At 41.2% G+C, this 26,788-nt stretch overlaps 1 protein-coding gene across 4 annotated transcripts in view, besides 1 other annotated feature; it reads left to right on the top strand.

The window, feature by feature from the left end:
* The window catches only part of MRTFA (myocardin related transcription factor A), a 226,431-nt gene that overhangs the window by 143,319 nt on the left and 56,324 nt on the right, over window positions 1–26,788 (top strand). The window lies entirely within an intron of this gene.
* Window positions 20,868–21,526: an enhancer, noted in NCBI's record as "OCT4-NANOG-H3K27ac-H3K4me1 hESC enhancer chr22:40867879-40868537 (GRCh37/hg19 assembly coordinates)". NCBI's record gives its function as "activates a minimal SCP1, AML or CMV promoter by ChIP-STARR-seq in naive and primed H9 embryonic stem cells {active_cell/tissue: H9 hESC(naive and primed)}" and the evidence as "EXISTENCE:reporter gene assay evidence [ECO:0000049][PMID:30033119]".

Below are 26,788 nucleotides of genomic sequence, written 5' to 3'. Positions count from 1 at the left end.
TATACTTTATCTAGTTTCCTAGTGGAACAGATTGATCAGCATAGAGGTTTTCATTTTTGTGTCTCTATACTGCATGCCTCGCTTAGCTTTCAAGTGTGAGGAACCTTGTAGGGAGAAGAATATGGTGGCACATCTGGTTCCAGCTGTGCTGTCAGCCTTAATATCTTCCCCCTTCTGTTTAGGTGGAAATGCCAGTGTCATGGTGGCCTTTGTTTTCATAATCAGCTGGGTAGATTTTTCAGTTGCCTGTTAGTGTAGCTGTCCTGATTTCCTTCCTAATGATGTGAATGATGGGACTGTGACATACAAGGAGTAAAATCAAATGGTGAGGTAAGCTGAGGTCAACAAGATAAGGGTTTGAATCCCAAATTTTGGTGGGTTGTCACTATTGTGCCAATATATTATCTCTGACTCTAGCCAGCATCTTAAGAGCCTATATTGTCTTTCTAAAGGAAAGGTCAAATATGTATTGAACTGTATCTTCTTTTAAATATTTTGTCAGCAAAGTGTTTACAAATTGGTGAGAAGTGTCCATTTGTTTTTTCATTCATTGAGTACACTTGCCAGTTAACCATTACGTTTATGGTTCCCACATCAGTACTGTGATAGGACTTTTTTCAAAGTAAATTCTTCCTGAGTTTTTCCTTTGGTACCTCCCCCCTCTGCTTTTTGGTATCTTTTATCTTCAAACATTTTAAAGATGAATGTGTCCAGTAAAATAATGTTGTGTTATAGCTCCTTGTTCCATTTTGGGTGCAGGCTTTGTACAAGAAGGGAGGGAGGGCAAGAGAGAGAAGAGGGAACCTAGTCATGTGATACTGCTTGTCTGGCAGAAGCCTTTTGGTTCTGAGCAGAGAAACCAACTGTTTACTATTTTGGGTGAATGAGGTTGGTTGGTTGCTATGAGCATTTTCTCTAAGGGAACCCTCTCCTCTTCCAGCTCTACACATTGAAATCATCTCAGTTCTGCTTTTTGGCATTTGGATAGAAGAGGGAGGTGTCTGTGTCTAGGCCCAGTGCTGACAGGAAGAAATGTTTTGCCAGTAGAGTTACTGATTCTGACCTTCTGCTGTCACTGCTTTTAATGCCCCACTCCCTAAGTAAACTTGGGATCTAACTGTTCTTGCAACCCTTTGCACTGTAGAATGAAGTGCCCACTTTAACTTAAAGAGCAGGGCTAATCAGATCTTCGGCAAATAATAAATGGCCTCTTTAAGGAGAGAGGGAAGGAAGAGTGGTTTATTGCAGCATTGGCCTGTGGAGACTCGAATCTCCTCCAGCATGCTGGAGGAGAAGGCCAAGATTCATCAGTCCACCTGCAGGATTCTGCCACTCTCGTGGATTGTCCTGAAGCCGAGAAAGGACAGCTATTACTCAGCAGTGTGCCTGACCCATTATCACAGTTTGCGGGAAGGTTCGAGTATTTGTGCCTTTGGGATTTGCATGCTTTTGTTTCCTTTCAAACTTAACTGCTGTCTTTTATCCCAGTCCTATTTCTCTGTAGCCATCCAAGCTTTGACTTTGGGTGGTTTATTCTCCCAGGATTTGTATTAAAGTTTGTTGAGCACCCAACAAATAGATAACTGAACATAGTACTGTAGGGTGCATTTCATGACCTGGTGGAACAGTGATTAGGATGTTTCACTTTCTTACTCCTTTTTTCCCCACCGTGCAGAGCTCATATAGCCAAGCCTAGATTGTGGAATAAGGGAAGAAAAAACTTTTCTTTAATAAGGCGGAATTACTCTTTATGTGGGTCAGATTCAATGTTTTATCCATAAAATGCACTTTGGCCTTAGGTACTATACAAATGGGAGCTATTGATGATCATTTCAGTTTCTTCTGTCTGTTGAATACTTGAAAGTAGATAGATAACCCTTTAAGGTTTATAACACTAAGACATCATAATTTAAAATAAAATAACACTTGGAAGGCTTTTTACTTGTATTGCGTCTTAGTTTTGCTTAGGGTGAACAATTTGGACTGGTCTTATCAATATTAAAAGAGTTTGCCTATGTGAACAGCCTTCCTTCATAGTCTTGGTTTTGTTTTTTTTTTAAGACAGGTTTTCACTCCTGTGGCCCAGGCTGGAGTACAGTGGCTCAATCATGGCTCACTGCAACCTCCACCTCCTGGGCCCAAGTGATTCTCCAGCCTCAGCCTCCTGAGTAGCTAGGACTACAGGCGTGCACCACTGCACCCGGCTAATTTTTATATTTTTTGTAGAGATGGGGTTTTGCCATTTTGGCCATGCTGGTCTTGAACCCCAGCCTTAAGCGATCCTCCCGCCTCATCCTCCCAAAGTGCTGGGATTACAGGTGTGAGCCACCGTGCTCGGCTTCTTTCATAGTCTTATACTGCAGGAAAAGAAAATCCTTTGGGAGTAGAATGGACACATTTGAGTTATTTAGAAAAGTTCACTTTTAAATTTGAGGAAAATTCTTTTAGAAGAGTTCTAGGTTATGAAAAAAACGACAATAGGAGCTTTATCCAAATCCTGTCAAATATGAATAAAAGAGAATTGTCAATATTTTCTTCTCCTATCTTGGAAACCCTAATTATCTACTATCAGAATTTATATACAATGTATAATAATTATGTAAATGCTACTTTTCTAAACACTTAGACATTTCTTTTGAGTTTTCCAGATTTCTTTGGGATTTTAATAATTTTAACAGGATGATTTGAGCCTGTGGAGTCAGCAATGAATGGACACATCGAAGACGAGATGGAGTGATTATCAGTGCCCAGTTTGCAGAGAGAATATTTTTTTTCTTCTTTTCTTTTCTTTTTTTTTTTTTTGAGATGGAATCTCACTCTGTCGCCCAGGCTGGAGTGCAGTGGCGCAATCCCTGCTCACTGCAAGCTCCGCCTCCTGGGTTAATACCATTCTCCTGCTTCAGCCTCCCGAGTAGCTGGGACTACAGGTACCCACCACCATGCCCAGGTAGTTTTTTGTATTTTTAGCAGAGACAGGGTTTCACGTATTAGCCAGGATGGTCTTGATCTCCTGACCTCATGATCCGCCGGCCTTGGCCTCCCAAAGTGCTAGGATTACAGGCGTGAGCCATCGCGCCCAGCTGAGAATAGTTTTAAGAATTGGTTGAGAGGCAGTTGCTTTTTCTTTGAATATCTAGAACTGTTCTGGACTAACGTCAAAGAAACACCATGGCAACATTAAAGGGAAGATTATTTGAGAGGCGGGGGATAGTATGGCTTAGGACTTGGGCTGCTACCTTTGACTTTGTAATTCAAAAGATTGTAATGTTCCATATTTTCAATCTGATCATTAAAAATATCTGTGTTACATGCAAAAAAAACCTATAGGCAATAGAGATTCAGGCTTGTGATAAGTAGGATCAGAATGGTAATGTTAGATAACTACCCTAAGCAATTAACTACACTTTTCTGATTTTTTTTTTTTTTTTTGCGACAGAGTCATGCTTTGTCTCCCAGACTGGAGTGCAGTGGCGCGATCTCTGCCCACTGCAACCTCTGCCTTCAAGCGATTCTCTTGCCTCAGCCTCCCGAGTAGCAGGGATTACAGGTGCTCGCCACCACACCTGGCTAATTTTTGAATTTTTAATAGAGACAGGATTTCACCATGTTAGCCAGGCTGGTCTCGAACTCCTGACCTCAAGTGATCCACTCGCCTTGGCTTCCCAGAGTGCTGGGATTATAGGAGTGAGCCACCATGCCCGGCTACTTTGCTGATTTTATAGTGTGCTTAGAACCTTTCATTTAGAATTCTGTATATTGACTCAGTCTTGAAAGGACTCAAATTATGGGCTGGGTGCAGTGGCTCATGCCTGTAATCCCAACACTTGGGGAGGCTGAGTCTGGGAGGGTCACTTTAGCCCAGCATTTCGAGACCAGGCTGGGCTTCAAAGTGAGACCCTGTCTCTAGAAAAAAAAAAATGAAAAAATTAGCTGGGCATGGTGGTGTACACCTGTGGTCCCAGCTACACAGGAGGCTAGAACCATGTTCACGACACTGCACTCCAGCCTGGGCGACAGAACGAGACTCCGTCTCCATAAAAAAAAAAAAAAAATTTGAAATTATGTCTTCTACAGATACACATTATTTTTTTAATTGCTGTCATTTTGTAAACTGCACAAGAGAAACAGATTTTGCCTCAAATGGTAAAAGTATTAAGAATATCTGATGTCCCTGCTTTTGGGCTGAAGCAGGTGTTCGAGGGACAAAGATCATTCTTCCTTGTAATACTCAAAGATACCCAGTGAAAATGATTGTGTCTTGTGTTTTATTATTATAAATTCTTAATATTTTCTTTTTTTATAGCTTTATTTTCCTTATTAATAGACTTTGGCATCAATCACATCTGCATGAATTTTTTTTCAGGACTGAGCCATCATGAAACGTTGGTGTTTTATGATTTTATACAACCTCTGATACAATATGAATGATGTTAGATCTATGAAAGATCTAACATCAATCAGTATTGGTATTGATATAACACAATATGTTAGCCACAAGTCAAATGTACCCATTGAGATTTGAAATGTGGCTAAAGCAGTGAGGAGCTGAATTATTATTACTTTTTTTGAGACGGAGTTTTGCTCTTGTTGCCCAGGCTGGAGTGCAGTGGCGCCATCTTGGCTCACTGCAACTTCCATGTCCAGGGTTTAAGTGATTCTCCTGCCTCAGCTTCCTGAGTAGCTGGGATTACAGGCGCCCGCCACCATGCCTGGCTAATTTTTCGTATTTTTAGTAGAGACAGGGTTTCACCACGTTAGCCAGGCTGGTCTCGAACTCCTGACCTCAGTTGATCCGCCCGCCTTGGCCTCTCAAAGAGCTGGGAGGATTACAGGCATGAGCCACTGCACCCGGCTGAATTTTTAATTTAATTAAAAAAAAAGAGAGAGATGGAGTCTCACCGTGTCGCCCAGGCTGGACTCAAACTCTGGGCTCAATTCTGTCAGCCTCCCCAAGTAGCTGGGACATGTGCTGCTAATTTTATTTGATTTTAATTAAATTTAAATAGCATGTGTGGCTAGTGGCTGCCATGTCTGATAGCACAGTTCTAGACCCTTCACAGTCTGACCCTAGTCAGCCTTCCTTCTGTTACTCTTTTTCACAAACGTAATGCTCCAGCTAAACTGGGGAGTGTTGGCTGTGACCTTAACCTTGTAGATTTCCTACCTCCAAGTCCTAGCTCATGTTGTTCATCTCTAGTTTATGAAGGCCTTCAGATAGCTTATATGCTGTTGCCCTGTGAAGCTTACCTAATCCCTTTTGTACTCTAGTAATGTATTATCTGCAAACTCTTAAAGCACTTGTAACGCTATCTCTGATTGTAGTGATTTGTTTTTCATTTCTCATATTCTCTATTATATTTATAGATTCCTCAAGGGGCTTATGTGGTTTTGATGGTTGTATGTGTGTGATAGGTTTAAGTTTTTCTTTCTTCTTTTTTTCTCCACGGTGTCTAGCAAAGCATTTTTATACATGGTAGGTGGTTCATATGCATTAGGTGAGTTAATCTACTGAGATTGCTGATTGTTACTGTGCTTCCTGGCACTAGAGGGCAGTATCATATCCATAAGCAAAATGAGGTATTTATCCCAAAGTGACAGATACATTTTGAGCACTCTGTCCTAATTCAGTTTTATTCAGTCTCATTAACGATTCTGGCCTCCAGAAGGAACTCACATCTGTTCATTGTCAGTGATATTAATAAATAACCTTTTTCTATAAATATCTTGATTAGATTCAGTGTATGTTGGACCAGGAGATAGTGAGATTCTTTCTGAGAAGAAACTTGGTACATCTGAGAAACACCAGTCAAGGCATTAGGTGTCAGAGATTAATTCCTTGAGGGCAGAAGCCTTTTTGTGGTAGGCAGCTAATATCCCAGTAGTGGTCTGGTAGTCAAGAACCCAAAGTTCTTGGTTTGATCTTGCCAATGGTGAACTTGGCTAAGTTGCTCTAAGCTTGGCACACTAGTTCTTCTCATTGTGTAGTAGTGGGTATAATGACTAATGACTCCAGTTCTGGCTCATAGGGTCAAATGAGATACGTATGAAAGTAGCTTTGTAAAGTATTATATAAATGTATAGTGGTGTTTTCCTTCTCAGTTCCTATGTCATACTTAGTACCAACGCATACACAAAATAAGTGATTACTTATAAATATTTATGACATTAATTTGAAAATTTTAGGTAAGGGATATACTGTGGTAAAGGCTGTACTCACCAAGGCTGCATACACTGAGAGGTGATTATAGTCACAATAGTGGTTAACATATATCCTGTCCTTAGATGTTATTTAGCCTCAGAGTGAACTGTGTGATACACACACAAACACACACAAGTATATATGAAGTTTACACTCTTTTGTTAGTCTCTTGTGTAGTGAATTTATTTTTGTACACCTGCTACCCTTCTCTTTTGTTTGTTTTTGTTTTTTGAGACAGTCTTGCTTTGTCACCCAGGCTGGATTGCAGTGATGCAACCTTGGCCCACTGCAGCCTTGACCCCCTAGGCTCAAGTGATCCTCCCGCCTTAGTCCCCCAAGTAGCTGGGACCACAGGCAAGTGCCACCATGCCCAGCTAATTTTTTTGTAGAGATGGGGTTTTGCCGTGTTGCCCAGGCTGTCTGAGATCAAGTGATCCACCAGCCTCAGCCTCCCAAAGTGCTAGGATTAGAGGCGTGAGCCACACTGCACCCGGCTCCCTGTACCCTTCTTAATACGAACTTAAAGTGTTCGTAATGAGCCAACCGTTGTAAGGTTTTTGGACTTCTTATAAAAAGCCAGATTCAAATACAGTTGTTTAGACAAAAATGTCTTAGTATGGAAATATGCATGAGCATATTTTCCTGCCAGATTTGTGGTTAGAAAAGAAGCAAATTTTCCTCCTAGAGTGGAAGGAAGAAAAAAACAATAAAGAAAAGAAGCAAGCTATTCAAGAAGAAGGTAGTATAGTGGTAGCTTTTTGTTGAGACCAGTCACCAGCCTGGAACTTTCTTTAGTAAGTAATTAGATTCATTGAATAAAATGTTCAACCGAGCTTGGTGCAATCTCATAGTTACAAAACACTCTTGCCAAAGAAAGTTGCAGTCTTAATATCCGTAATCGAATCATTTCCTGTTCGGGCTTGCAGGTGGGGAACAATCTGAAACTGCAGTCCTATAAGATTAGTTATAAAGAAAACGCCTTGGTGGGAGAAGCCTTGATGATAATATTGAATAGACAGCCTAACAAGTGTGGGGATGAAGAAGGTACACCAGGATCCTGGGACTAACCAGATTTAAAGGCGTAAGTCGGGATCTGCAAGCCCACTCCCTTGGGGTGATCTGAATAAAGCTACTCTAGGGCATTCAGGTATGTGCTGAACACACTCGGGCAGTGGGCCAGGCAGATGGCTCATTCCTGCACCGACCTTCGAAGGCCTGCCAGGTTGAAAAGCTACCACTGGGGAGGCATGGCTGTGCTCTAGCAAGAACAAGAACATGCATTTCATGTAGCATTTGGTCCTTCCCAGTTGAGGGAGATGCCTTAGGACTACGTTAATCTCTGAGTCCACTTAGGGCTTGGGATGTATTCTCACAGCCCTTGCTCCTCCTCCATCTTAGAGTTTATTTTTACCATCATTGCAACCTCCTCTAAGTGATTCTTCCAGACCCATAGTTAGCCTTTGAGATTCCGCAGTTCTCCTCCCTACTCTTCCCCACCATGTCTTCATTGAGACCCACATTTTTAGGTTTGACTAAACCTTCCATCTAGGAATAGGTAGGAGGCTAAGCAATTTAGGCCGCATTCATGTATCCTGTCATTTGCTTCACTGCATCTTCTTGGCTGTGGTAAAGGAAATTTAGGTGTGATACACTCCTTAGGCTTCCCTGCCCTGCCCCCCTTTCCTTTTGCCCTTTTGATTTTTTTTAATCTGATACTCAGGCTCTCCTCCCGCCTTCACACACCATTGGAGTCTCCTAAGCTATTTCTGTCAGTTTAATGATCCCCAGCTGTTGCCACAGTTCAGGCTGTTTTCATGCCCAGGAGAAGCATCGAAGAGGCAGAGGAAAAGGGGTCTTGTTTGTTGTCTGTCCCACAGTGTGTAAAACAAATCAAATTCATTTTTCTGAAACTACTAGTGAGATTCCTTAGGGATGGATGTTAATACTGGGATGATTTGAAAATCAGGAGGAGGAAAAGTACATGGTAGTATCAGGGACATTTTTAAAATAAGCATTCTGCTGATAGGTGTGGCACTCTGCATCACTCAGAATTATGCTAGAAAATTGAGGTATGTGGTATGGAGGAATTATTTGATCACTTTGCATTCTTTTAGATTTTTTTTTTTTTTTTGAGACGGAGTCTCACTATGTTGCCAGGCTGGAGTGCAGTGGCGCAATCTCCTCTCACTGCAACCTCCTACTCCCAGATGCAAGCGATTCTCCTGCCTCAGCCTCCTGAGTAGCTGGGATTTACAGGCACGTGCCACCATGCCCAGCTAATCTTTGTATTTTTAGTAGAGACGGGGTTTCACCATGTTGGCCAGGATGGTCTCGATCTCCTGACCTCGTGATCCGCCTGCGTCGGCCTCCTAAAGTGCTGGGATTACAGGTGTGAGCCACCGCACCCGCCTCTACTTTTAGATTTTGAGCTGGAATTTCCCTTCTACTCATGTATGTTGAAGGAGTATCTAAATTAAAAGAATTCTGTAATAGGAAATATATGGAAATTGTTTCTGAAGTATCCAGAAAAGGCATTTATTTAAGTTCTGCTTTAACTTAATGCAGGTTTGTTTCGTAAAATTTTGTGCAAAACCTGCAGTAGTGAAATGTTCCATTTGCAAATTCAACCACACAGACTTCAGGAAATACAAAGTTGCGGTACTTATAACATGAACTCTTCTACAGTTACACCTACCTTTGCTTTTGAAAAGTCTTTACTAAACCTGGGGGATGTGGAGTGGGAAAATCCTACAGTAGTTAAATGGGCTCCTAATGTATTATAATGATCTGGCTTCTCCTTTATGTGTTTGATCTTGAGAATTTTAACCCATTCCAACAAGTTTAGCTGATTTGTAGCTTTTACGCTCAGACACTACATGAAGTTTAATTTTATGGATTTCTTTCTTCCACAGAGAAGACAAATTTTGCTGCAGACTTTATCAAATTTTATTTTTAAATTTTTATCTTTTTGAGTCAAATAGCTAAAATTTTACATCATTTAGGACTGAAGAGTGAGAATTTACTGTTTTTTTTTTCTTTATCCATAGAAAACTTGATACATAAACATTTGAATAAGCTTCAGATTGTTTGTCTATCTAATTATCTATCTATCTATAACCCAACCCATATGGTCTAATTTTTAATCACCTTTCTATTCCCTACTGCTTCCCATAGAAAAGGGCCAGGTGTAGTGCCTCATGCCCAATCCCAGCAAAGCCTGTAATCCCAACATTTTGGGAGGTTGAGGTGAGCGGATCACTTGAGTCCAGGAGTTTGAGACCAGCCTGAGCAACATGGTGAAACACCATCTCTACAAAAACAAACCCCCAAAAAGCAAAAATTGGTCAAGCATGCTACTGTGCGTCTGTAGTCCCGATTACTCAGGAGGCTGAGGTGGGAGGACTGATTGAGTCCGGGAGGTCAAGGCTGCAGTGAGCCATGATCGCACCACTGTACTCCATCCTGGCGACAGAATGAGACCTATCTTTTTATTTTAATTTTAATTTTTTTTTTTTTATTGAGACAGTCTCACTCTGTCACCCAGGCTGGAGTGCAGTGGCACTATCTCGGCTCACTGCCAGCTCTGCCTCCTGGGTTCATGCCATTCTCCTGCCTCAGCCTCCCGAGTAGCTGGGACTACAGGCGCCCCCCACCACACCCGGCTACTTTTTTGTATTTTTAGTAGAGATGGGGTTTCACCATGTTAGCCAGGTTGGTCTTGATCTCCTGACCTCGTGATCCACTCGCCTCGGCCTCCCAAAGTGCTGGGATTACAGGCGTGAGCCATTGCGCCTGGCTGAGACCCTATCTTAAAAAAAAAAAAAAAAAATTACTTTAGGTCTGTCATAGTAGCTCACGCCTGTGATTCCAGCACTTTGGGAGACTGAAGCAGGAGGATTGCTTGAGACCAGGAGTTTGAAACCAACCTGGGCAATATAGTGAGACCCCATCTCTACAAAAAAATTTTTTTAAAATTAGCCAGACGTGGTGGAGAGCGCCTGCAGTCCTAGCTATTTGGGAGGCTGAGGTGGAAGAATCACTTGAGCCCAGAAGTTTGAGATTACAGTGAGCTGTGATCCTGCACCACTGCATTCCAGCCTCGGCAAGAGAGTGAGATCCTGTCTCTGTGTTTTGTTTTTTTGAGACGGGCTCACTCTTGTTCAGGCTGGAGTGCCGTGGCACAGTGGTGGCTCACTGCAGTCTGGGTCAACAGGCATACACTACAGGCACACACAACCAGATGTTGTCTCCCTGTGTTGCCCAGGTTGGTCTCCAACTCCAGCTCTCAAGTAATCCTCCCACCTTGACCCCCACAAAGTGCTGGGATTATAGGCACAACCCACTGTCCCTGGCCTAATTTAATTTTAAGGAAAACAATTTTTTGTCACTTTTGGTTTGCTCTAGAATGACTACCCTATTCCAAGTTTTGAATCTGTACAACAAAGTTGGGTGCAGAATGTCAGCATCAGTGATACCAGCAGGGATTAGCAAATGAGATTCAAGGCTGCCCATATTTTCTCAGTGAATGGGCAGAACTAATGCAATAAGGAAAATGCTGTTCTTGGTGCCTTTAACTTTGGAAGGGAGTGTTCAGATGGCCCTACCTAAAAGTGCTAAAGGAAGCACATTCCTAGTTTATCTCCACCCTGTTCAGGCATCTGGTGCAAGTGCATGCTATGCCCAGATCTTACATGATGGAGTTGGTTGCACATTGCTTTATAGATCCTCAGGAAAGAGACTGATGACATTGAAGTAATTGGCACTTTGAGATCTGTTTGCCACCATTAGAATAGGAGGTCACCTCAAGGGGGGAGATGAGCAGCTACCCAAAATGAAGTGGTGAGCTTCAGATTTTTGAGGATGTGGGGAATAATATTTATTTATAGTTATTAATATTTTTATTATGACTGTGGCATAAATGTGATATAGTAGAAAAAGCACAAGCTTTGATATCAGGCCAACCTGTGTTTGAACTCTGGCTCTACCTGTTACCACTTGTGCAGCTTCTTCATCTATGAGATAGTACATATCTCAAATAGCCATTGAGATGAAATGAGTCACCGTAGTAGTACTTCTACCCAGTGACAACACAATGTAAGAGCTAAACACATTAGAGTCCTCATTTCTTTTTTTTTTTTTTTGAGATGGGAGTCTTGCTGTGTCACCCAGGCTGGAGTGCAGTGGTGCGATCTCGGCTCACTGCACGCTCTGCCTCCCGGGTTCCAGCGACTCTCCTGCCTCAGCCTCCCGAGTAGCTGGGACTACAGGTGCCCACCACCACGCCCAGCCAACTTTTTGTATTTTTAGTAGAGACGGGGTTTCACCGTGTTAGCCAGGATGGTCTCGATCTCCTGACCTTGTGATCTGCCTGTCTTGGCCTCCCAAAGTGCTGGGATTACAGGCGTGAGCCACCGCGCCTGGTCAGAGTCCTCATTTCTTCTATTTTAGTTTTCTTTTCAAGGCAAGCCTTTTCTCAGTGCCTTTGCACTTGCAATTTCTTATGTCTGGAATACTCTCCAGATCATTTTTATGGTTTGTCATATTATTTAGGTTTCTGTCCAAGAGTCATCGGTCTCTTCAAAAGGGCCTTCTCTGTGTACCCTATCTAAAATTATCACCACCCCTGTCACTCTCTGTTCTCTTGTTCCACTATATTTTTCTTCACATAATGTACTCCCTGAAATTATAATACGTACACCTTATTTATTATGTTTTCCCTGCTAGAGCATATGTTCTATGAGGGCAGGGACCTCATCTGTCCATGTTGTTGTTTTATTGCCTATAAATATTGACCTTATCTGTTCATGTTGTTTTATCACCTGTAAGTATCACCTATACATATTAGTTCAATAAATGAATGAACGAGCCAACTGACAATCTTCCTAGTGCCCGAAAAGAACCTGTGGCCGAATGCAGGAAGGAAGTTGTACCAGGAAGCAAATGCTCTCTGCTTTTGTGGAGTGGATGTTCCCACACTGAGAGCCAGATAGGCAGTAGTCCTGTGACGTCCTCTTACATCCTTTTAGACTTCTTCCTGTCTCTCTGTCTGGGAAGAGCCCCTTTGACCTTTATTTAGTATTTGTTGTTATTTTTTGAGACAGGGTCTCACCCTGTTGCCCAGGCTAGACTGCAGTGGCATAATCATGGCTCACTGCAGCCTCAACCCCTCAGCTTCCGGAGCAGCTAGGACTACAGGCAAGGACTACTACACCTGGCTAATTTTTTTAAAAAATTATTTTTTGTAGAAACGGGGGTCTCCCTGTGTTGCTCAGAAAAGTCTTGAACTCTGGCCGGGCATGTTGGCTCATGCCTGTAATCCCAGATACTCGGGAGGCTGAGGAAGGAGAATCGCTTGAACCCGGGAGGCGGAGGTTGCAGTGAGCGGAGATCGCGCCACTGCACTCCAGCCTGGTGACAGAGCAAGATTCTGTCTCAAAAAAAAAAAAAAAAAAAAAAAAGTCTTGAACTCCTGGGCGTGATCCTCCCACCTTGGCCTCCCAAAGTGCAGGGATTACAGGTGCGAACCATCATGCCCAGCCTGAATAACCTTTAGATGTGACCACCGTTATCCTGTTAAAATCTCGATTCCTTTTGGAATTAGAACATAAGCATTGTTTTCAGTCTCCAGAGTTCTACTGTGTCATATACTCTACATGTTCCATACTATTCACTGAAATCACCTGGATTTTCCCCTAGTTAGTAAGTATGTAGATCACTTTTTTCCATCCATATCAGCATGTCATGCTGATAACACTATCAATATAGTGTCATTTTAAAACAGAGGAGTGGGGGTGCAGTGTTTCATCATGACTGTAATCCCAGGAATTTGGGAGGCCAAGGTAGGAGGATAACTGGAGGCCAGGAATTCAAGGCCAGCCTGGGCAACAATGCAGGACCCCATCTTGACAAAACATAAAAAAAAAAAAATAAACATACAGAGAACTGGTGTGTTTTATGAGAAAAGAGAGGTGATTGAAGATTCAGGCTATACATTCAGACAGAGCTGGGTTCCAATTTCTGCTCTACCTTTTACTTTATGACCTTGAGCAAGTTGCTTAATCGGTCTAAACCTCAATTTCCTCATCTACAAAATGGTATGACAGTTGTATCGTCTGCATAGCTTTGTTGTGAGAAATAAGATGATGCATGCATGTTTACACCATTTTATAAGTTATTACACAATATAGAGACCTTTCACTTGCATATTTTAATAACTTAAGTTAGATTTTCATAAGCTTATTCTTTGAAAGTTACCTGGTTAGATGTGTAAGTTGCCCAGGTTTACCAGCCCAGGAACCTACTTCATTAATCAAGAGCCTTCATCCTTGACAGTATTCAGATTAAATAGAAGATATCTATTATATTTTGGTATTATAAGAGTATTCCTTATCAGAAATGTTTGAGACTACAGGTGTTTTGCATTTTGGATTTCTTTCAGATTTTGGAATATTTGCATTATATATTTGCTGGTTGAACATCCATATCTGAAATCTGACATGCTCCATTGAGCATTTCCTTTGAGCACCATGTTGATTTACAGGAATCATTTATAGGAATTGATAATTTCTTTCTCTCCAAGAGATGGCAGCATTTCAGTTTGAAAAACCTGACATTTGTTGTGTTTCATAATTGATTCATCAATTTTTCTAAAGCTAGGGCAAATCCATGTTTTTTATTTTATTTTATTTTTTTAGGAGCAGAGGTTTAATAGGCAGAAGAAAGGGAAAGGAAAACAGCTCTCTCTCGTGAGAAAGAGGGGACTTGCGAGAGGAAAGGCCGGCCAGCAGCAGCGGATGCCCCAGATTTTATAGTTGGGTGTGAGGAGGTGGTGTCTGATTTACATAGGGCTCACAGATTGATTTGATCAGGTGTGATGTTTACATAGTGAGTGGGGAAGGCTGGTTGCCCCACCCTAATCTTATTATGCAAATGCATTCTCCCCTTAGCTGGCGCCATCTTGTCTGCTCCTTACTGTATATGTGGCTGGCAGAGAAGGGAAGGTGGAGGCTTCATTTTGAACATGATTAGTTCCAGGTAGTTCTTTCCTGCTGGCATTCACCTGTGCAAGCGCTCAGCTTGCTTATCTATTTCAGCAGCTCAACTTTACAGGCTGCTCTTTGTTAGAAAATGATTTGGGGCTGCTTTTCATTAAAAAGGAAAACCTTACTGAGGACTTCCATACCCTCCCTATCTGCCTAAGTAATTTCTTAACTCCTGTATCATTCACTCCTCTGGAATGGTAATGCTAACTGCTGTTAGGGGGTGTTGGACAACTCTTTCTGGCTCCTTCCTGCTGAAAAGGGGCATTGTGTGTGGAACAGCAGCTAGGGCTCCTCCTGGGGTCAATCTAAGGGTCTTCAGATGAAAGGTGTGTCCATGTGTGGTTCGGTGTACAGCACCATTTGGAGTTTGATTGCTGTCGGAGCCATTCCGATGGGTTGTAACACTGGTTTGCCTCCACCAGATGTTGCATGTTGTAACAATGAATGTTGTACCTTGGTATCCCAGACGAGGTCCCCAGTATGAAGTGGCTGTGTTGTCTGGGGTAAATACTTGAGATTCGTCGTCTCACGCCAAGAAAATTTAGGACATGGACACGTACGAGGAGTTTAGGAGTGGAGGTTTCATAGGCAAAAGAAAGAGAAGGAAAGAGAAAGGAAAACAGTTTGCTCTCTAGTGAGAGAGAGGGGACTTCCAAGAGGAAAAGGCCCTCCGTGGGTTTTGAAAATAAACTTTATTTGGAATGATTTTAGACTTAGAAGAAAGTTACAAAGATAGTACGGAGAGTTCCTGTGTATCCTTGATCCAGTTGCCCCTAATGTTAGCATCTTACATAACTATGGTACATTTGTCAAAACTGAGAGATGAACATTAGTACATTACTGTTAAGTAAACTCCAAACTTCATTTGGATTTCATTCGTTTTCCCACTAATGTCGTTTTTCAGTTCCCAGATCCAATCTAGGATACCACATTGCATTTAATCATAAGATTTGTAGATGGTTGGTCAATAGACTCCCAAGGAGAATTTACTTTCCTTTCTTCACCTCCACTTCCTCCTTTTTATCTTAACTTTGGATCTGAATCTCAAGAATTTCAGCAGCTCGTTTCTCTGGCAAAAGATAAATGGACCTTTCTGGATCCTTTAACAACTATTTTGGTATTGATAGCTTAGAATTTCAGGAGCATGCTTTTTTTGAACACTCAACTGTATATTTGATTTTAATAATGAATGGGTACTGATTCTTCTGCCTCTCTCTGAAGCTTGCTCTTTATAATTACCAGAGCCTGCTTCACTGACTACATGTTCCTAAACTGCCTTCCAAAGAAAAATAGTTCCCTTTCTTTTTGTTTCCCCTTTCCTTTTTCATTCCTTTCCCTCCTCTCCTTCCCCTTTCCTTTACCCTTCCTTTCATCTCTCCGCATCCCCCACCCCCAACCCCCACCAAGAACAACTTGGGATGTGATTTAAATAAGCGTGGCTTGATATAAGATCATTTTACCTTGCAGAATAAATTATCTTGTTGGAGGTGTGGTACCAGATTACTTACAGTTTTTACTTTGCCCTAGGGAAAATCTGATGTAAAAGCCTCTAATGAAACATATGTAATCTGTATTATAATTTTACAAATCACTTTTCATGTACATTGTGGTCTTTTGAGTTTCAAAGGGTATATGGATTAGTTTTCAAAATTGAATTATAGTGAGAAAATTGAGGAAAAAAAGATAAAGTTACTTGATTAGGTAGCAACAGAGCTAGGATTGGGACCTCTGTGTTCTGATTCTTTCTCTGATGTCTTTTGGTCTCCCCTTAGAGGTCATTTCTTTTTTTTATTATTATTATTTTTATTTTGAGACCGAGTCTCACTCTGTCACCCAGGCTGGAGGGCAGTGGCGTGATCTCGGCTCACTGCAACCTCTGCCTCCTGGGTTCAAGCTATTCTCCTGCCTCACCCTCCCGAGTAGCTGGGATTACAAGTGCCCGCCACCATGCCCGGCTATTTTTTTTTTTTTTTTTTTTTTTTTTGTATTTTTAGTAGAGACAGGGTTTCACCATGTTGGCCAGGCTGGCCTAGACCTCCTGACCTCACGTGATCTGCCTGCCTTGGCCTCCCAAAGTGCTGGGATTACAGGCATGAGCCACCGCACCTGGCCAGAGGTCATTTCTGTAGGTGTATTGCATTTATTTGGAACTAATATATAAAACCAACCCCACATTCAGTGCTGTTAACCCTTTACCCAGAAATCAGTTGAGTTGACAGTAAACCCTTTCTGGTTAAGGATAGGGCTAATTATAAAATACATTGGGCCTTTACAATGCTTTTGTTTATATTAAAAACAAGCCAGAGAGATGTTTTTGGCACAGTGTACACTGTGCTTACCCATTCAGGCTGGTTTCACAAGTTGAAGGAAGAAAATTATCATGAAAAGGACAAGAGAAACTTAGTGTTTAGGCTGCGCGGTGGTTCATATCTGTACTCCAGCACTTTGGGAGGCCGCGGTGGGTGGATCATTTGAGCCCAGGAGTTCAAGACTAGCCTGGGCAACAGGCGAAACCCTGTCTGTACAAAAAATTAGCCATTTGTGGTGGTGCGTGCCTGTGGTCCCAGCTACTGAAGAAGCTGAGGCAAGAGGATCAATTGCTTGAGCCCAGGAAGTTGAGGCTGCAGTGAGCCAAGATTGCACCACTGCTCTCCAGCCTGGGTGACAGAGCAAGATCCTATCTCAAAAAACAAAAAAGAAAAGAAACATGTTTAGAAATAACATTATATGTAAGAAGCAGGAGAGGAAACAATTCCATTGGATGCTGTAGGACAGGGTAGGGCTCAAGAACCAGAAAGCAAGAGAGGTAATCAAACCAAGTTAGGGAACACAGAGACATCTGTCTTCTCTTTCGTATCTTTTTAGGCTGTATCAGGACAGACTCGTGGGCGCATATTAGTAGGGGCCCAGAGGAGTCTTACTTTTGGGGAATGTTATCAGGAAATAGCTTGAAACTTTAATACCAACTGATCATGAAGATAAAATACTTTCAAGACCCCCCCCCTTTTTTTTTTTTGAGACGGAGTCTTGCTCTGTCGCCCAGGTTGGAGTGCAGTGGCGCGATCTCAGCTCACTGCAAGCTCCGCCTCCCGGGTTCATGCCATTCTTCTGCCTCAGCCTCCCGAGTAGCTGGGACTACAGGCACCCGCCACCACGCCTGGCTCATTTTTTGTATTTTTAGTAGAGACAGGGTTTCACCATATTAGCCAGGATGGTCTCAATCTCCTGACCTCGTGATCCACCCGCCTCGGCCTCCCGAAGTGCTGGGAATACAGGCGTGAGCCACCGTGCCTGGCCGAGACGCCATTTTTATGTACCCTAGTGCTATCTTGCATAGAAAAGATCTTGTTTCTCTTTTTCTCTGACTTCCAGTGTTGGGCAGTACCATCTTTCTGCTCTTATGATAACTGAAAAATACATAACTATTTTAATTGTTGTTTTAAAGAAACAAGCAATTCTTTTTATTTTTAATGTACACATGTGTCTCACACAAAAGGCCACATAAGACTTGAATTTGCCAGTAGTAGGGCATGCCCACTCTTGGCATGTGTGCTAGCTAATGTTACACTTGTCTAGATGTTAGTGTCTTTCTTAAAACATTGTAATTATTCACTTTTTTTTTTCAGACGGAGTCTGGCACTGTTGCCCAGGCTGGAGTGCAGGGGCACAATTTCGGCTCACTGCAACCTCCGCCTCCCAGATTCAAGCCATTCTCCTGCCACAGCCTCCCTGGTAGCTGGGATTACAAGCATGCACCACCATGCCTGGCTAATTTTTCTATTTTAATTGAGATGGGATTTCACCATGTTGGCCAGGCTGGTCTCGAACTCCTGACCTCAGGTGATCCGCCCACCTCAGCCTCCCAGCATGCTGAGATTACAGACGTGAACCACCACCTTAGATGGCTTTTGTATCTTAAAGACAGGGCCAGTTATTAGAGATACAAATCTGTGTAAGACATGGTTCTCATTCTCACAGAACTCCTAGCTCTAATGGATTCAAAGTGAATAATTACAATGTTGGCTGGGCGCAGTGGCTCACACCTGTAATCCCAGCACGTTGGGAGGCCAAGGCAGGCGGATCACCTGAAATCAGGAGTTCTAGACCAGCCTGGCCAACATGGTGAAACTTCGTCTCTACTAAAAATACAAAAATTAGTCAGGCGTGGTGGCACACACCTGTAGTCCCAGCTACTCGGATGGCTGAGGCAGGAGAATAGCTTGAACCTGGGAGGCGGAGGCTGCATTGAGCCAAAATCATGCCACTGCACTCCAGCCTGGGTGACAGAGCAAGATTCCATCTCAGGAAAGAAAGAAAAAAAAGCCATTTGAATACATGAATTGAATTATGGGAACAATCAAATCAGTTAAGATATAGTGTCTGTTTTCTTTGGAAATACTCTTCACACAAATTAGAACTTACTTTATGTATGTTTCCCTCATGAAACTGTAAACTCACTGAAGGTGGGGCCTTCAGTCACTACTGTATCCCCAGCAACAAACAGAGAGTATCTGGCATACAGTAGGCCCTCATATTTCTTGAATGAATGCAAGGAAAGAGAGGTTGGGACAAGGAGCTAAGGAAGAACTGAATAAGGCATGGATGTGAGGTAAGTATATGTGCTGACCAACTAGTACATGAACTCTAGAGCATCCAAGCAAGTGAGAGTAAAGTGAGTAAATGACACTGTGTGCCTTAACTTACTTGTTTTTATGACTTCCCCTGAAATCTCTACTTTTCAAAGAGTTTTAGCATCGTAAACAATTGACTGTATATTAATATAAAGAGCAATGTGAAAAGTTTATTATCATATAACATTAAAGAAGGAAATACTGGAGAGTTCAGGGCTCTCTCATATCCTTTTTTCTTTTTCTGTAAAATATTGATCACAACTTGAATTTATTTGTTTGTTGTCATTGATTTGATCTCTGTTGTCCCACTGGACTGAAAGCTTTATGTGAGCAGAGATCATAGGTGTATCTAGTACCTAGCACAGGACCTAACACAATAGTATTATGTTGGTGCAAAAATAATTGCAGCTTTTGCCATTAAAAGCAATGACAAAAGCCTCAATTACTTTTGTGCCAACCTATAGTTGTTTAGTAAATACTTGTTAGGTGAGTGAATAGAGAAGATCTCTCTCCACACCCTGATTCCCAATCCTTATATTGGTAGTGATGCTGGAAAGTAACCCAGGCAGCAGAACTTGAGTAGCACCTGCTTCTGGGGACACCCTTCACCTACTTTTAATCATGCATTCTAAGAATGAAACTGGTGAGTGTTCTGAACAGCCTTTGGTTCTAATTGGTAGGCCATGTGGTTTTACAATTTGGATGCCACTAAATGATTTTTCAGGCATATAGGATAAATATAATGTAAAATACACCAGTAAAATAGGTATAATTCACTGTTGCAAAGATGGGTATTCTAATTATCTGCATGCTGAGCTTCACTTAAGGCTAGCACCCAACCTGTTCCTTCTCTGACCTTCCTGGTAAAACACATTCCCTAGTTTGAAGCTAAAAGTATTGGTGTCTGTTGCTGAATTAAGTTGCATTTGCTTATTTTTTCTGGGACTGGTGCCTGAAAATTAGAGAAAAAATATACCAATTATTAGCAGATCAAGCTTTAGGAATTTATAGGAGGCTATGAACTTAGAGTAAGGAAATACCATCCGAAACTACTTTTAACAGTTAATATTGGCTGGGTACAGTGGCTCACACCTGTAATCCCAGCACTTTGGGAGGCCGAAGTGGGAGGATTAACTGAGCCCAGGAGTTCGATACCAGTCTGGGCAACAGTGAGACCTCATCTCTACAAAAAAATTTAAAAATTAGCTGGGTGTGGTGGTACAAGTCTATAATCCCAGCTACTCAGGCGGCTGAGGTGGGAGGATTGTTTGAGCCTGGTGGGTCAAGGCTGCGGTGAGCCGTGATCATACCACTGCACTTCAGCCTGGACAACAGAGTGAGAACCTGTCTCAAATAAAATAAAAACCAGTTAATATTTATTAGTAAATGTACTACACTGTATATAAAAGAGAACTTAGAAGATACTGCATCATATCGTATGCATTAAATTTAGATAGAAAATTCACAGAAGTGCATCTAGAGATAACAGATTTTATCTCTTTATTGGGTTGTTCTTTAGCCATTTTCTTCCCCTTGACAAACCTTTAGTGGTAGTCTACAAATACATTTTATGGAAGAAGTATGTTGGAAAATGAAATTTCTCTCCTGTTGGAAACTTTTGAACAAATTAACAATTTTTAGCCAGAGCTTGGGGGTCCATTTTCACTGCTCTTTGTCCTCTGCTCCAGGAGCTATGTGTGAATTTGTTGTGGTCTCTGTTGCCCTGTGTCCTCCAGGTCCTGGGAGGTCCATAGCTAAGATGCCAAGACACCATGGAAGCTGGGAAATGTGTTGATAATTTGTGACAGTGGATATCCCTGGTCTGTATCCTGTTCTCTAGATGTCTGAGTTTAATGCTAAACTTCATGAGATGGGAGTTGACACCTCCTAGAAGTGTTCACATGATTGTTTATTAAATTATTCGTTTGTTAAAAAGGAATTTGAGAAAAAAATTATTTGTTATTCATTCTTAAGTTTTTCAATGTGAAAAAATATTAAAAATGATCATGGAAATAATAACATGTTTATTGTCAAAAAATTTTAACTTAAAAACTGAATCATTGTTCAAAACACAGCAAAAGATGATGTGCCTTAAAACAGTATCAGAGGAAAGGCTACTTACTGCTTATTAGGTGGATTAAACCTGCTTCGCACTATTTACTTGCCATGATCTATCATTGGCATCACGAACATGGGTGGAGCATATTTAATTTCTCCATATAAAGTAAGCTTAAATTAGGCCAAATTAGCATTACATAGGGTAGCTCTTGACATGGCATTGCATTAGAATTACCTGCTAAGCTTTTTAAAGAGATGAGGTCTAGGCCCCATTCCAGACCAATTAAAAACCTTCCCAGATGATTTCATTGTGAAGGGTAAGGGTTGAGAATCACTGGAATGAGAGAAGGATTACAGGGATAAGGATACAGAATATTTGGTTCCAGTCCTGGCTTCATTTCCTAGTATTTTGTTGAGGAATTTTGTGACTATGTTAATAAGGCATATTCACCTGTAGTTTTGTTTTGATGTCTTTCTCTGGCTTTGGAATCAGAGAATAATACCAGCTTCATTAAATGAGTTGGGGAAGTGTTTTCTCCTCTGTTTCCTGGAAGAGTTTGTGAATGATTGGTATTCTTTTTAATTTTTAATTTATTTTTTTGAGATGGTTTTGCTCTGGCACCCAGGTTGGAGTGCAGTGGTGTGGTCTCAGCTCACTACAGCCTCGACCTCCCAGATTCAAGTGATTTTCCTGCCTCAGCCTCCCGAGTAGTTTGGACAACAGGCACTTGCCACCATGCCTGGCTCATTTTTGTAGAGGCAGTTTTGCCATGTTGCCCAGGCTGGTCTCGAACTCCTGAGCTCAAGCAATCCGCCTACCTGGGCCTCCCAAAGTGCTGGAATTACAAGCATGAGCTACCGCGCCCAGCCAGTATTAATTCTTAAGTATTTGGAGAAATATATCAGCGAAGCTTTCTGGACCTGGGCTTTTCTTTGTGGGAAGATTACTATTTCAGTCTCCTTACTTGTTATACATCTATTCCGATGTTCTATTTCTTTCTTCAATTTCAATAATTTATGCCTTCCTAGGAATTTGACCATTGCATTTCTTTTTCTTTTTCTTTTTTTGAGATGGAGTCTTGCTCTGTTGCTCAGGCTGGAGTGCAGTGGCATGATCTCGGCTCACTGCAACCTCTGCCTCCCAGGTTCAAGCGATTCTCTTGCCTCAGCCTCCCAAGTAGCTGGGATTACAGGCGCGTGCCACCACATCTGGCTAATTCTTGTTTTTTTTTTTTTTTTTTTTTTTTTTTTAATAGAAACAGGGCTTTGTCATGTTGGCCAGGCTGGTCTTGAACTCCTGACCTCAGGTGGTCCACCCTCCTTGGCTTCCCAAAGTGCTGGGATCACAGGTGTGAGCTACCACACCCGGCCTCCTTTTGCATTTCTGATTTTTGTATGTATTTTCTGTTTTTTTCTTGGCAGTCTAGGTAAAGGTTTATCAATTTTGTTCTTTTCAAACAACAAACTTTTATGACTATTGATTTTCTCTGTTGTTTTTGTTTTTTGTTTTGTTTTGTTTTTTGAGACGGAATCTCGCTCTTTCACCTAGGCTGGAGTGCAGTGGCACAATCTCAGCTCACTGTAACCTCCGCCTCCCGGGTTCAAGTGATTCTCCTGCCTCAGCCTCCCGAGTAGCTGGGACTACAGGCGCCTGTTGCCACACCTGGCTAATTTTTGTATTTTTAGTAGAGACAGGGTTTCACCATATTGGTGAGGCTGGTCTCGAACTCCTGACCTCAGGTGATCTGCCTTTCTCGGCGTCCCAAAGTGCTGGGATTACAGGCGTGAGCTACCACACCTGGCCTGTTTTTCTGTTTTCTGTATCATTGCTTACCACTTTAATTTCCTTTTTTCTACTTACCATGGTTTAATTTGCTCTTTTCCTAGTTTCCTTTTTTAAAATTAGCTGAATTTCATATTCATCTAGTTTCTTAAGGTAAAGGCTTACCGCATGTATTTCAGATCTTCTTTTCCAGTGTAGGCTGTGAATTTTCTAATATAAACCTATGAGTTTCCCTCTAAGCACTGTTTCAGCTGTATTCCAGAAATTTTGATAAATTGTTTAGTTCAAAGTACTTTCTAATTTCTCTCATTCTCTTTTGACCCATTGGCTGTTTAAGGGTGTGCTCTTTAATTTCTGCATATTTATGAATTTCCCAAATTTTCTTTTGCTCTTTATTATGTTTCTTTATATATATATATATATATATATATATATATATATATATATATATATATAAAATTTTGGAGATGGGGTCTTGCTGTGTCACCCAGGCTAGAATGCAGTGGTACAATCTCGGCTCACTGCAACATCCACCTCCAGGGTTCAAGCAATTCTACTACCTCAGCCTCCTGAGTAGCTGGGATTATAGGCACCCGCCGCCATGCTTGCCTAATTTGTGTATTTTTAGTGGAGACGGGGTTTCACCATGTTGGCCAGGCTGGTCTTGAACTGCTGACCTGAGGTGATCCACCTGTCTTGGCCTCCCAAAGTGTTGGGATTACAGGCGTGAGCCACTGTGCCCAGCCATATATTCTTTATATACATAATATTTATAGAGATGGGGGTCTTGCTATTTTGCCCAGGTTGGTCTCTGACTCCTGGCCTCAAGCGATTTTTCTGCTTCAGCCTCCCAAAGTGCTGGGGTTGTAGGTGTGAGCCACCATGCCTGGCCTGTTTTTGATTTCTAATTTAATTCCATTGTCATCACAGAATGATTTTAATCCTTTTAAATGTACTGAAATTTGTTTTATTGCTTGGTATGTGTTGTGACCTGGGGAGTGTTCCATGTGTGCTTGAAAAGAGTGTATATTCTGCCATTGTTAGGTGGAGTGTTCTATATGTTTGTTAATTCTATTTGGTTGATGGTGTAGTTCAAATCCTATATGTCTGCATTAGTCTGTTTTGGGTTGCTAAAAGGGGTACATGAGGCTGGTTAATTTATAAAGAAAAGAGGTTTATTTGGCTCATGGTTTTTCAGGCTGTACAAGCATTGCACCAGCGTCTGCTCAGCTTCTAGAGAGGCCTCAGGAAGCTTTTACTTATGACAGAAGGCACATGGGGAGCAGGAGTGTCACATGGCGAGAGAGGGAGCAAGAGAGATCCCATGCTCTTTTAAACCAGCATGCACATGAGCTAAAAGAGTGAGAACTCATTACTTGCGGGGAGGGCACCAAGCCACTCCCAGGACATCTGCCGCCATGACCCAGACACTTCCCACTAGGCCCCGCCTCCAACATTGGGGATCATATCTCAGCATGAGGTTTGGAGGGGGCACACATTTGAACTGTTTCAATATCCTTACTAATTTCTACCTAGTTGTTCTGTCTATTGTTGAGAGTGAGGTAGATTGCGATTTTTAGAGGAGATAAACTCAAATACTCCTTATTCAAAGTTAGTTAAATAAGCACCATGCAATTTATTAAAATGTAGAAATGCTCTAGTATTAGTTGTACCTTACAAATGCCAGAAATGACATCTATTAATTTACTTTCTAGTATACTGGGGCTATTTTAATGTTTTTAGTGTGAAGGTCATTGTTAATTCTCATGAAAACTGATGCATTCAAACTTGGCTCCAACCAGACCAGTCTTTCAGTTGATTGTTTCTGGATAGCAGTTTCCCCCCTGAAGTATGACAGCCTCCAGAGTTGGAAGCCAAATATCTGAGTGGGGGAAGAGAAAAGATTTTTGAGAAGGCTTGTCTGCATTTTGGTCTCCTCAAGCATATACACCTCATTAATTTTCAAATGCAGCACTGTTTTGGCTGGCATATAATTTCTAGTCCAGGGGCATTTCCTTTACTCATCAACAAGTTTGTTTTGGAGCCTTTTCTAACATAAATATTCTGAAAAGTGGTGGCCAAGTTTATTGTCATTTGATTAGAAGTTTCATGAGAAAAAGACTTGTCAGTATTCCTGAGTTACAGCTCAGTTAATGAAATGTCCCTACAGTCTGAGAATCTTCCTTGAGAGGACTTAGCTGGGCAAAAGATTATGTGGAGGGAGGGGTCTTGTTTTTTTACTGTCCTGTTCTTCCCATACTAACCCCACCTTCCTATTCTTTTCTACTTCCTCATAATTTATACTTTATCTTCTGATTGTAGAAGTCTTGGTGGAATCAATACATGTATAAGGTAGGAACAGCTATCAACTGCATGTTTCCTTTCCAGTGAAATCCAGGACAAATGACCGGTGGAAGAGCTAGGCTTGAGAACTCCACTTCTTACTCCTTTCTTGTTCCAGTCTTGATTGACCCAGCTGTTTGATGTGTTCATTTCTTGGGTATTACCCCTCGAATCCTATCAACATCCTTCCATGGTCTTACAGGGCAGAGATATATTAAGGTCACTCCTTGGCTTTTCCCTCACCCCCAAAGTAGCTAGTTATTCAAATAGCAATTGATGCCTTTGTTTGAGGCAGGTAAAAAACTTGATTATTTCCATGGAGAGTGGAGAACCTAGGGTTTTTCACTTTATGGTTGGGTTTCTTTTCTTTTTATTCCATTCTTTTCTGGCAGGCAACTCAGTTGATTCACCACCCATCAGCTCTAAAGACATCTGTTCATCTATGTATAGGTTGTTCACACAGGCCCATTTAGAAACATGATATATTAAATTTGTGGAAATCAGTAACAGTAAAGGATTAAAGACTTATGCTTGTATACAAATAAATATTTTTGTTGAGTCTTTATTGGCTTGGGGAATGATGAGCAAATCTAAGTAGTGATATACAATGACATAGAAAGATGTCAAAATTCCTACTCTCCTAAATCTCCATAGGCTTATACTGTCTGTGAAAAATCATCATTTGTTTCAGATATTTCTCGGTGAGAGTGGATGTGTATTAAATTTATGGCCTCTGAAATTTATTCCTGATTTTGGTAACTTTGGCAGTGAACACAGAACATATGGCTCTGTGGTATTTACTGAAAGTAGGTTATTAAATAATTGCTTCTAAAATGAATAATCCTAAGGTCTGGAAATGTAAAGTCATTTTGTTTAGAATGCTTAGAATTAAGAGGAATTAATAGACCAAGGAAACAAAAACTCCATATAAACAGCTGTTTCTTTGTAGTTGGAAGTCTTAGACGATGGATCATTTTTAGTCTACACAGATAAACATAAAGCAGATAAATTATAAAACAAAATGAATTATAGGTTGACTGCCATAATTCTGAGTTTACTGCTTCAGTCTTTTTTCCCCCTCTTTGTAACCATTGAAGGTTATGCAGTGCATAAAACAACACATACCTAAATCAGGTTATTGCAGTACCCAAGATGATACTGATACAGGATAATTCTGTTATTTGAGTGGGGAACTTTGTCAGATGTCAGATAAGCACAGAGTTCAAAGTTAACTCCTGGGAGGGACAAGATGGAATTTTCAGATAACTGAACTTTAATTTCATTCAGTTTTAGAGATGGAAAAGGTTTATTAGATAAGCTTTCGTCTTTGTACTGGAGCTGTATATGTGTGTGTATAAATATATATATATATATACATGCATAATATATACACGGTTGTGTATATGTGTATGTATATATAAGCTGAATATGCCTTTACTGTAATCTCCACAGAAAACTTGAATCAAATTTATTAAATGTGTTAGCTTTCATAAATTTAAATTTTTGCGTTCATGAAGCAAGAAGTTTTTCAATCAAGAAGTTTATGTAATATCCCTATGGCCCTATTCATATATGGTTTACTTAAGAAGGCTAGTGGTTAATATTTCAAAATTATTCTTGGATTAATAGCCATTGCTTATGTTATTGTTTCTTTGAAGTGTTCAGACTTACTGAATTGCATTGTTCCCTTATTCTCTGAAATAAAATTAATTTGTCACATTTAATAATTTTC

This window comes from Homo sapiens, chromosome 22 (assembly GCF_000001405.40).
Source record: "Homo sapiens chromosome 22, GRCh38.p14 Primary Assembly".
Taxonomy (NCBI): Eukaryota; Metazoa; Chordata; class Mammalia; order Primates; family Hominidae; genus Homo; species Homo sapiens.
Note: the sequence above shows the minus strand (reverse complement) of the source record. Positions and strands in the feature narration are given on the sequence as shown.